This window comes from Homo sapiens, chromosome 20 (assembly GCF_000001405.40).
Source record: "Homo sapiens chromosome 20, GRCh38.p14 Primary Assembly".
In the NCBI taxonomy this organism is placed as follows: Eukaryota; Metazoa; Chordata; class Mammalia; order Primates; family Hominidae; genus Homo; species Homo sapiens.
The window spans coordinates 13317582-13329780 of record NC_000020.11 but is presented as its reverse complement, the minus strand read 5'-3'; the positions used below and the strand labels follow the sequence as shown (position 1 = coordinate 13329780).

The following is a 12199-nucleotide window of genomic DNA, read 5'->3' as shown; positions in this document are numbered from 1 at the left end:
TGTAATTGCAAAAATAAGAAATAAAAGACATGTCAATTGGAAGAAAAAAAAAACTGTCTCTATTTGCAGATGACATGATTGTTTATGTAGAAAATCCCCAAGAATCTTTAAGAATAAACTCCTAGGACTAATAGTGAATATAACAGGGTGGCAAGGATACAAAGTAAACACAAAAACAAGTTGTTTGTATTTGTAAGCAATGAACAATTGAAACTGAAATGAAAAAAAACAAAAGCATATTACTATATTTATTTGCTGGGGCTGTAACAAAGTGCCACAGACTGAGTGGCTTGACCAATAGAAATCTATTTTCTCACAGTTCAGGAAGCTAGAAAGGTGAGATCAAGGTTTTAGTGGTGTTGACTTCTTCTGAGGGCTTTTTCTTTGATTCGTAGATGGCTGTCTTCTCCCTTTGTCTTCACCTGGTCTTCTCTGTGCCTGTTTGTGTCCTAATTTCTTCTTACACCAGTCATATTGCATTACACCATTCTAATTACCTCATTTTACCTGACTTACCTCCTTAAAAACCCTATCTCCAAATATAGTCACATTCTGAAGTACTGGGAGTTAGGATCTCAACATATAAATTTTTTTGGCAGGGAGGTGGCAGGGACACAATTCATTCTATCTCAATTATTAACAATAGCTTCAAAAAATGAAATGTTTAAGTTACAAATCCAATATAACATGCAGGATCCTTATGCCAAAGGCTACAAATGCTGAAGAAAGAAATCAACAGTAAGAAAACAACCCAATTTTATTTTATTTTACTTTTTAAAATTAGGTTTTATTTAATTTTTTAAACTTTTTAAATTCAATTTTTATTTTAAGTTCAGTGGTGCATGTGCAGGATGTGCAGATTTGTTACATAGGTAAATGTTTGCCATGGTTTGCTGCACGGATTATCCCATCACCCAGGTATTAAGCCCAGCATTCATTAGATATTCTTCCTGATGCTCTCCCTCCCCCCACCCTCCTACAGGTCCCAGTGTGTGTTGTTCCCCACAATGTGACCATGTGTTCTCATCATTCAGCTCCCACTTATAAGTGAGAACACATGGTGTTTGGTTATCTGTTCCTGTGTTAGTTTGCTGAGGATAATGGCTTCCCACTCCATGCATGTCCCTGCAAAGGCACGATCTCATTCCTTTTTATAGCAGCATAGTATTCCATGTTGTATATGTACCACATTTTCTTTATCCAGTCTATCATTGATGGGCATTTAGGTTGATTCCATGTCTTTGCTATTGTGAATAGTGCTGCAGTGAACATATGTGTGCATGTGTCTTCATAATAAAATGATTTATATTTTGGGGGGTATATACCCAGTAATGGGATTGCTGGTCAAATGATATTTCTGCCTCTACATATTTGAGGAATCACCACACTGTCTTCCACAATGGTTGAACTAATTTACACTCCCACCAACAATGTAACAGGGTTCCTTTTTCTCTGCAACCTCACCAGCATCCATTGTTTCTTGACTTTTTAATAATCACCATTCTGACGGGCGTGAGATGGTATCTCATTGTGGTTTTAATTTGCAGTTCTCTAATGATCAGGGATGTTGAGCTTTTCTTCATGTTTGTTGGCCACATGTATGTCTTCTGTTGAGAAGTGTCTGTTCATGTCCTTTGCTCACTTTTTAATGGGGTTGTTTGGTTTTTTTTCTTGTAAATTTGTTTAAGTTCCTCGTAGACTCTGAATATTAGACCTTTGTCAGGTGGATAGATTGCAAAAATTTTCTCCCATTCTGTAGGTTGTCTGTTCACTCTAATGATAGTTTCTTTTGCTGTGCAGTCGCTCTTTAGTTTAATTAGATCCTGTTTGTCAATTTTTGCTTTTGTTGAGATTGCTTTTGACATTTTCATCATGAAATCTATGCCCATGCCTATGTCCTGAATGGGATTGCCTAGATTTTCTTCTAGGATTTTTATAGTTTTGGGTTTTACATTTAAGTCTTTAATCCATTTTGAGTTAATTTTTGTATATGGCGTAGTGAAGGGGTCCAGTTTCGATTTTCTGCATATGGCTAGCCAGCACTCCCAGCACCATTTATAAATAGGGAGTCATTTCCCCATTGCTTGTTTTTGTCAAGTTTGTCAAAGGTCAGATAGTTGTAGGTGTGCGGTCTTATTTCTGAGTTCTCTGTTCTGTTCCACTGGTCTATGTGTCTGTTCTTGTACCAGTACCATGCTGTTTTGGTTACTGTGACCTTGTAGTATAGTTTGAAGTCAAATAGTGTGATGCCTCCAGCTTTGTTCTTTTTGCTTAGGATTGTCTTGGCTATTCAGGCTCTTTTTGGTCCCATATGAATTTTAGAATAGTTTTTTTTTCTAATTTGTGAAGAATGTCGATGGTAGTTTAATGGGATAGCACTGAATCTACAAATTACTTTGGGCAGTATGGCCATTTTCATGATATTGATTCTTCCTATCCTTGTGCATGAAATGTTGCTCCATTGTGTCTTCTCTGATTTTCTTGAGCAGTGGTTTGTAGTTCTCCTTGAAGAGGTTCTTCACTTCCCTTATTAGCTCTATTCCTGGGTATTTTATTCTTTTTGTAGCAATTGTCAATGGGAGTTCATTCATGATTTGGCTCTCTGGTTGCCTGTTGTTTGTTATAGGAATGCTGGTGATTTTTGCACGTTGATTTTCTATCCTGAGACTTTGCTGAAGTTGCTTATCAGCTTAAGAAGCTTTTGGGCTGAGATAATGGGGTTTTCTAGATATAGGATCATGTCATCTGCAAACAAAGATAATTTGACTTCCCCTCTTCCTATTCGCATATGCTTTATTTCTTTCTCTTCCTGATTGTCCTGGCCAGAACTTCCAATACTGTGTTAAATAGGAGCGGTGAGAGAGGGCATCCTTGTCTTGTGCCAATTTTCAAGGGAAATGCTTCCAGCTTTTGCCCATTCAGTATGATATTGGCTGTGGGTTTGCCATATATGGCTCTTATTATTTTGAGGTATGTTTCAGCAATACCTAGTTTATTGAGAGTTTTTAACATGAAGGGGTGTTGAATTTTATTGAAGGCCTCTTCTTCATCTATTGAGATAATCATGTGTAAACAACCCAATTTAAAAAATGAACAAAAGACCTGACTGGGCATACCATCAAAAAGGATTTATGAAAGGCAAAGAAACACATGAAAAATGCTCAACATCATGAAACGCTAAGGAAATCAAACTAACAACATGTTGAGATACCACTATATACCTATTAGAATGGCTAAAATAAAAAAAATTCATACCAAGTGTTGGTGAGGATGTGTAGCAACTGAGTATGTGTATGTATGGAACACTCACATATTGATGCTGGAGATGGAAATGGTACAGCCACTCTGAAAAATCGAATATATACATATACTTACTAAATTGAATATATACATATACTTAAATCGAATATATACATATACATACTACATGACCCAACGGTCCCACTCCTAAGTATTTACCCTAGAGAAATGAAATCTTAGGTGCACATAAAAATCTGTACATAAATGTTTATAGCAATTATTTTCATAATTTCCCAAAACTTACAAACAACTTAAATATCCTTTAGTAGGCGAGTGGATAAACAAGCTCTGGTGCATCCATACATGGAATGCTACTCAGCAATAAAAAAGAATAAACTGCTGACACATATGATAACTTGGATGAATCTCAAAGGCCTTATGCTGAGCGAAAGAAACCACTCACAAAAAGGTAACACACTGCATGTTTCTGGTTACATGACATTTCAAAAACTGTAGTGATGGAAAACAGATCAGTGGTTACCCGGAGTTGGGAGGGTTGGGTGGAAGATGTGACTATAAAGAGGTGGTAAGATAGGACTACCTCTTTGTAGGTACCACTTTTTTGATGGTCGACGTGTGTATTGGTGTTCTATATTCATAAGGAAACCTCCATTTTGAAATGCTGGGATTAAAGAACAATGTTTTCTTTTAAAGTGTATGTCAAATATTATACTTGAAAAATTTTCTGTTAAGAGTCAGTTCTCGGAGTAATTACTGGCATGTAAGAAAAATCAGGTTCAAATGGATGAACCTAGTTTATCAAAGGGAAGGAATGAATGGATATTACCCACATGTCACAGTTTTGATACAGGTGGAATTAATTGATTATTCTGGATCTGGCTTTCTTCTGAAAGGAATTTCGTCTTCCGAAGGGAACACAGGGTTTTTGTCTAAACCCATTATCGATTCTCTGGGGACAACTAGGTAACTGTTCCAGGAAACAAGTTGGGGAAAGGTGAATATTATAATCCCCCTATCACCTTTCCTGTAGCAGAAACTGTGGACCCTCTCATGACATCTAATCACAACTCTCTTCTGCCTGTGTGGAAATCAAAGTGACATATTTCTTCCCATTTTATTTATGGAGACAGATACCAGAAGAGCAAGCATGCAGGAGTTCGAAACAAATACATCTTAAGCACGAGGTTGGCACGTGTTGCAGATTTTCTTCCCCAATACAGATGTGCAACCTCGCATTTCAGAAGAGACCTGAGACCTCTAACTTCTTGATGGGAACAAAAGATAAGTCTCAGTTGTGATACCACATGCGTTTCTCGTGAGAAGGGAGACACTCCAGGGCCATCCCCCCACCTCACCCCATTTGTCGGGCTGTCCTGTGGGCACCCTCTGGTGGTCACTTAGGTCGAGTGGCTCTCTGTTCCTTGCATCCAGGAGCTCCCTGGTTGGAACACTACCTATAAAATAAACAGAAACATTCTGATTTGTTTCTTTGAGGCAGCAATAGAGAAATAGCTGCACTAACAGGATAAGAAGCCGAAAAGAAACAAATATTTTCTATTCAGATGGTGTTAAAATGTGGTCATCAAAGCTAGGGATCCTTGTATTTTTCTTCAGCTGCATGAGCAAGTCTCTTTGCCTTCCTGGGGTTTAATTTTCTCATCCAGAAAATAAGAAACTTAAACTAGGTTATTTCTAAGCGTGCTTCCAGCTTCAAATGTATGTAATATCTAATAATTTGTTTAGTAGGTGCTTTCTGTAGTGGTGCTAGGTGCTGTTCCTGACACCTGGCTTGACACCAACCTCAAGAAGAGATTATGCCTGGAAAATTGAAAGCGGTGTGAAGACACTTTGTAGGCATCATTTTGTTTTTCATTTTCTAGCCCTTTCTACCCATTCCAGTGCAAGCTTCCTTAATATTTGAAATAGATGAGCATGATTAAGGCATAATTAAAGCCAACTGAAACTTAGTTTCTTCCAAAAGTCTCTCATCTAATCACAATTAAGACCTGTTAGTTTTCAGTGAGAAGTAAGGATGTAAATTTAAATTCTACACCCCTGCCTAAAATGTGGACAAGATCCTCTTTTCTGCATCTTTGGGTACTGCCTATCACTTTTAAGCTGCACAAGTTCTGGAGCTAGAAGTCATATTTAAAAAACACACCTCACATTTAGTTATATCTTGCAGCTAGCAAGGCAATTGTTCCCTACAACTCTCTGTGAATTTTTAAGCTAATTGATTCCTTGCTGTCATCTTCTGTTCCCTTACCTGTGAGGTGGGGCTGTGAAAGTCAGAGACAACCCATGGGGACATGCTTTGTAAACAGCCACTTGTTGTAAACAGGTACACAAGCATTCGTGAGGGTTATGAAAGTTGATTTCACAGCTAGGTCCCAGGGATAGTACCTGAAAGTTACAGTATGTTTTTATAGGGCACCAAGCAATTACTGCAAATACTTCTCGACTTATAATAATTTCACACCACTGCAAGTTGTTGTCCTTATAGGAAGGGAGATAGATAACATTTCTTAGAGAAGCACACACCCTAAAAGCAGCTAACTAAATAGAAACTCAGAAAGACTCACAAGAAAGAATGCATTTCTTATCATTCAGGCTATTAACAATTTTTTTGGTCAGAGGAGACCAAAAATATTTTGGCCCATCTATTTATGAAAGAATAAACCAATGATTTTCTGTTGGTTAGTTTATTCTTCCATAAAGAAGCCTTCATTTCAAAATTCTGGGATTGAAGAAGAAGGCTTTTTTTCCAAGATAAATACTAAATACTCTCATTTAAGAACATTCTTTTAGTAATTAACTCTGGGAGTAGTCCATGACATGTATAAGAAAAATCAGGTCTAAAGGAATAAATGCAGGTTATCAAATGAGAATTATAGTCGTATGGTAGTTATAAAGATTAAATGAGATACTATATGTTGCCTAACAAAGTAAATGGCCAAGAAAACGTAGTTTCATATGAATAGTATCATACTGAAGCATTTATCTGTTTTTTGGTAGATACTGGATTTGGTAGGATATAAGTTACATTGGGAAAGGAATAGGGCTGAGTTCTTTCTCTTTGGTAACACACTGGGTTATGGGAACCACGGTTCAATAGTCTTTCATCCAGGAAGATGAGCTCTTTCTACCTTTGCAGTGTGATTCCAACTTTCTTGCCTTGCTCCGCCTGAGTCATTGTGTTTCCAGTAAGTGACCTCCCTTCCTTTGGACCAGTCCCTAGTCTTCTCAAGCCCCTGTCTTTTCTTCAACACATTTCTTCAATGTGTTTCTCCTGCTTTACAAGGACATACCCCAACCCTACCGACTCTCTTATTCTTTGTAGCAAGTAATATTTGGGGACTGTAGCTCTGTTCTCTTGCCCTCCCTATTCCATGTTGTGGTCTGATTGCTCTTAGTTCCTATTTTTCCTCCGAGACGCTGTGACACAATGCCTGGGTGGTGTCTTCCCCCAGAGTATGCACCCAATTGTTCTGGAAGTCAGGAAGGACTGTGGCGTTTTCTGCCTTGCTTTGTCAAATGTTGTCTCTTCCTACAGTAATCCCAGGGACTCTTTTTAACCCAGGATTTTATTCTAAATGGAATGTTAAGAGAGTTCAGATGCTGAGAGACAGGTCAGGGCAGCGGGGGTGGGGAGAGGTGTGAGCTTATCCAGATCTGTGGCTTTGCCAGGACTGTTTTCAAGTTGACACAGTGCTAAATAAAAAGCCCCTTGCTTTGATCTCGGGGACTTCCTGAGTAGACTGTCTGATTAGATAAAGATCACATATTCCACCCCCATCCTTTAGGAAGTAATCTAAGCTTTGCAGCTATTCCTTATCCTGTCTCCTTCTCAAAGTCTGTCTGTCTGTATCACTGGGTCCCTCCCTGGGTCTTGGGCTTTTCTTTCTGTTTGAGCAGGAAAAGGGATCCTGAGAAAATAGAGCACGTCTTCCTCTTTGAAATCTTCTTAAGTTGTTTAGAAACAAAGCAAAAGCTTTGTTTGAGAACCTCATATGGACCTCGTCTGGTCCAGGGCATCAAAGGAAACTGATCTGTTTGCAATATGGTCAGCTGCTGAGATGCTATGAAGCAAGCGAGTTGGCAGGTGGAAGAGTTGGAGAGAGAAATACAGTCAGTGGCTGCACTGGGTTCCTTAGCCAAGAAAAGAGGGTGGGAGTGTGTCTTTTCTCTTAGAACAACCCGTATCTCTTTAAGCTAGGTCTGGACACCCAGGAGATGCAGCACAAACTGCCTTTGAAGATGACGAACTGCCTCACTCTTGGGAGTACAGCACTTTTAAGAAATGCTTGGACCTAAAAAGCTGTCAAATTGGAAGTCATCTAGGCTAGGTTGCAGCTTTTCAGCTCTGTTCAGGAGGAGAATCTCTTTACGACATTAAAAAATGACTTTGCAAAACGGTACTTGTACTTTTAATATTTTGTTTTATTGAACACTCTGTGCCAATCACTATTTTAAGCGATACACATGCACAATTTCCATAATATAAATGTTGACTCATTAATTCTTCATGGCAACCCTGTGAGCAACAGTATCGTTATGATCATATTTTACAATGAAGAAACGAAGGCATGGAGAAGTTAAGTACCTTGCTCAAGGTCACATAGCTAGCATGCAGCCAATTAGGGAGTCAAACCTGAGCAGTCTAGCCCAAGAATCTGAGTGCTGCCTCTCCTGTCTCTACACACACTTCGACATTCCCTAGTAAAATACACATGAAAAGAAAAGATGTGAATTCAACGCTACTTTTTAATATGTACATACATGTGAAAAATAGTTATGTATTTATATGGGAGGGAGTTGAATGTAGCAGTCATTCATCAGCTTCACAAGCATGTCTTTGAGAGCTCACTGTGTGTGCCAGGCCCTGGGCTAGAAGCCGAGGATCAAGTGGTGAAGAAAACACACCACGTCCCTGTGCTCAGGCTGAGGCTTCAAGGCACCAGGCCTAGGCAGACAGAGGAAGGATTATGTTTACCTTGCAGTGCTAATGAGGGTTTTAGATGCTTCTGGGGCCAGAATTCTGGAACGTCCTAGAGCGTTTCTCCCCTTGGATCCAAGCGACAATCCCCTCTTACCTAGAAAGGCAGCAGGCTTCAGAGGGTTTCTGGTCTACCACACTAGCTGTAAGAATTTTGACAATTGTCATCAGTATTCATGTGGTTTAGGCCCCTGTGGACAAAACTGCTAATTTTCTTTTCAGCATCTTCTTTATTTGTCATAAAATCTTTTTTTTTTTTTTTTTTTTTTTATGTGGGGCACATGACTATTCTAGATAAAGACGATCTCTTTTTATTGTTTTGGAGACAGGGTCTCATTCTGTCACCTAGGCTGCAGTGTAGTGGCATGATCTCAGCTCACGGAAACCTTCACCTCCTCCTGGGTTCAAACGATTCTCATGCCTCAGCCTCCTGAGTTGCTGGGATTACAGGCACGTACCACCATGCCTGGCTAATTTTTGTGTTTTCAGTAGAGACAGGGTTCCACCATGTTGGACAGGCTGGTCTCGAAATCCTGACCCCAACTGATCCACCAGCCTCGGCCTCCCAAAGTACTGGGATTACAGGTATGAGCCACTGTGCTCTGCCAATAAAGATGATTTCCACCATCACCTCATGCAACTCACTGTGGCCATATGACTACGTTCTAGTCAATGGGATGTAAAAAGAAATGGTATCTTTAACTTCTGGGAAGCCCTTTCCCACTCCCTCTTTTTTTGCTAGCTGAAATAAGAATGTGATGGCTAGAGCTTGGACAGTCATCTTAGACCATGAAATGGAAACTGCTTCAAGAGAAATATGGAGCAGTGAGACTGAGGAAACCCAGAACTTGTACTTACCTGGGACTATCAACTTCTGTTTTTTAATGAGAGAGCAATAAGCTTCTACCTTATTTGAGCCATGGTTACTTTGTTTTTCTCTCACCTGCTGTCAAGCCTTATCCTAATTGACATAGCATCCTCCCTTAATATTTGATGTGGTTTTATATATTTGGGTCTTTCTAAAGCCACCTAATATCTGTCCTATACTTCTTTTCTTTTTAAATTAACCAGAGTTCGGTTCTCTTGTTTTCAGCTTTGAGCACTTTGGTACCATTTGTCTCTAAGTTCTGTCCTTTGGTTTGCAAGCACAGTGTGAAGTCAATGCTTTTAGGGTTAACATCCCTCCTCTAGTACAAAGCTAATGTATCACACAGAACTCTGCTAATGAGGTCTGAACTCATTTGGGAATTTAGGAAGTATTTTTGCTCAACTCACACTCTACCACCTATTCCATGAATACAAGTCTTAGTTCCAGGGAAAAAGACAACATCCTGTGCTCTTCCAGGACCCATGAGCCCCTCAGCAGGGTTATTGCTTACTTATAACCAGCAGAGGTATAGATTGCTTCTCACAGGAGGGGACCCTGGTGTTGCTTTCTCTACAACTTCACCTGGTGTACCCCAGTTTCTGACTTTGGGGTGTTGGGTCACTTCCTGAAAGCAGGCAGTGCAGACTCTCCAGCCCCCAACCCTTCGGTGGAGTTTTCAGAACTGCCTGTGCTTTCTTCCTTCTGTGTCATGCTGGTGGTGCTGCCCTGTCCCTGTTTCCCAGAAGAGCCCTCACAATCTCTGCAGGACCTGAGCTGGTTAGAGAGCCTCCTTCCTCTAATCAGCCTCCAGCCACAGCTCCACACCAGGTGCCCTGATGCTGCTGCAGGCCCAGGGACAAGAAGGTTGGCTGGCTGTCCCCACGTCTCTCTCACCCTCTAGAGTGTGTGTGTGCAGGGGGGAGGGGGTTAATCTTCAAATAGATACAAACATTTTCCTGTAGCCAAAACTTAACCCATGTTTCTTTAGGCATTATAGCAACCTTAGAACTCTGGAAACCAATCCTTTTTGTTGTTTGTTTTGACAAATAAAGGAGATAGAATGTGGGATATACTTCTACGAGCTGCCATTTTGCCTGTCTTTCTTTCCTTTCATTCTCTCTTTTCTCTGATCTATATCCTATCTAGCTCCCTTCTCTCACTCTCCGAGTGACTGTTACCTGTTAGGATTAAGTCAGGATCATTCCTCAACCCTTGACCTCTGTGAAACTCAGATGCAATGTGACTCAGTGGGTCCTGTGTCTCTGAGCTCTGTTTTCAATAACTTCCAGTTTCTGATTAGCAGTAGAAATACCCGGGCTGCCAGGCACATGTGACCAGATAAGTGTCTAGTTCATGCAGCAGGAGCCAGCAGTTGCTCATAGTCTAGTTGGCCTTGCCTTGTTTGGTTTTCTGCAATTAGTGTTTTTTTTTTTCTTCTACCTAATAGTCACTTAAAAAATAGACTATTGTTTCAGAGCATTTTTAGTTTCATAACGAAATTGAACAGAAGGAACAGAGATTTCCCAAATATCCCCTGCCCCCATAGAGACATACTCTCTCTGACTATCGACATCTTCCACTAGAGTCATGCATTTGTTACAACTGATGAACCTACATTGACACATCATTATCACCCAGAGTTCATTAGGGTTCACTCGTGCTGTTGTACAGTTATATGAGTTTGGACAAATGTATAATGACCTGTATTAACCATTATAGTAACACATAGCATAGTTTCACTGTCCTGAAAGTGTTCTGTGCTCTGCCTATTTATCCCTTCCTCTTCTCAACCCCTGGCAACCATTGATCTTTTTCCTGTCTTCATAGTTTTGCCTTTTCTAGAAGGCTATGTAGTTGGAATCATAGTGTAGGTAGCCTCTTTAGATTGGCTTCTTTAACTTTTTTCACTGAGTTTCAAAAAATATTTTCTCATGGCTTGACGGCTCATTTCTTATTAGCACTGAATAGCACTGGATAGCCAGCACTTATTAGCACTGGATAGCCAGACAATGGAATATTATTCAGTGCTAATAAGATATAGTTTATCCCTTCACCTACTGAAGGACATCTTGGCTGATTCCAAGTTTTGTCAATTATGAATAAAGCTGCTATAAACACCTGTGTGCAGGTTTTTTTGTTTTTGTGTGGACACAATTTTTCAAGTTTTTTGGGTAAATACCAAGCAGCACAATTGTTGGATCCTATGGTAAGCGTACGTTTAATTTCATAAGCAAACATCAAACTGTCTTCCAAAGTGGTCACGCCATTTTGAATTCTCACTATTCTCAATGAATAAGAATTCCTGTTGCTCCACATCCTTGTCAGCATCTGATGTTGTCAATGTTTTGGATTTTGGCCATTCTAATGGTATCTTGTTGTTGTGTTAATTTGCATTTCCCTGATGACATATGATGTGAAATATCTTTTTATATGCTTATTTGCCATCTGTATATCTTCTTTGGTGAAGTGTCTGTTAGAGTCTTTGGCTCATTTTTATTTATTTATTTATTTATTTATTTTTTCAAGTGTCCTCAGAAACATTTAAAGAATCGGGTTGTTTGTGTTCTTATTGTTGAGTTTTAGGGTTCTCTGTATATTTGGATATTTATCTGTTAGGTCTTTTGAAAATATTTTCTCCCAGTCTTTGGCTTGTTTTTTCATGCAGACAGTGTCTTTCACAGAACAAAAAAGTTTAATTTTAATGAAGTCCAGCTTACCAACACTTTTTTTTCCACGGATAGTGCCTTTGGTATTGTACCTAAAAAGTCATTGCCTAACACAAGGTCATCTAGATTTTCTCCTATGTTATCTTCTAGGACTTTTAGATAATCTTATGTTTCACATTTAGGTCTATGATTCATTTTGAGTTAATTTTTGTGAAGGGTATAAAGTCTGTGACTAGATTCATTTGTTTTGCATGTGAATGCTCACTTTTTCCAATAACACTTATTAAAGAAACTCCTTTCTCCACTGTGTTGTCTTTCATCCCTTGTCAAAGGTCAACTGACTCTATTGGTGTAGGTCTATTCTCTGGCTCTCTAGTCTGTTCCATTGATCTATTTGCCTATTCTTTT

At 39.4% G+C, this 12199-nt stretch overlaps 2 protein-coding genes across 4 annotated transcripts in view; one reads left to right on the top strand and one right to left on the bottom strand.

The window, feature by feature from the left end:
- The window catches only part of TASP1 (taspase 1), a 534161-nt gene that overhangs the window by 309152 nt on the left and 212810 nt on the right, over positions 1-12199 (top strand). The window lies entirely within an intron of this gene.
- ISM1 (isthmin 1) overlaps positions 3058-12199 on the bottom strand; it is a 105450-nt gene continuing 96308 nt past the window's right edge. The window contains exons 6-7 of the mRNA XM_017027680.2: positions 4617-4715; positions 3058-3345 (exon numbers count right to left, since the gene is read on the bottom strand). Coding sequence (XP_016883169.1) covers positions 3119-3345; positions 4617-4715 — 326 coding nt within the window. The 3' untranslated portion in view covers positions 3058-3118. The remainder of the gene's footprint in view (positions 3346-4616; positions 4716-12199) is intronic.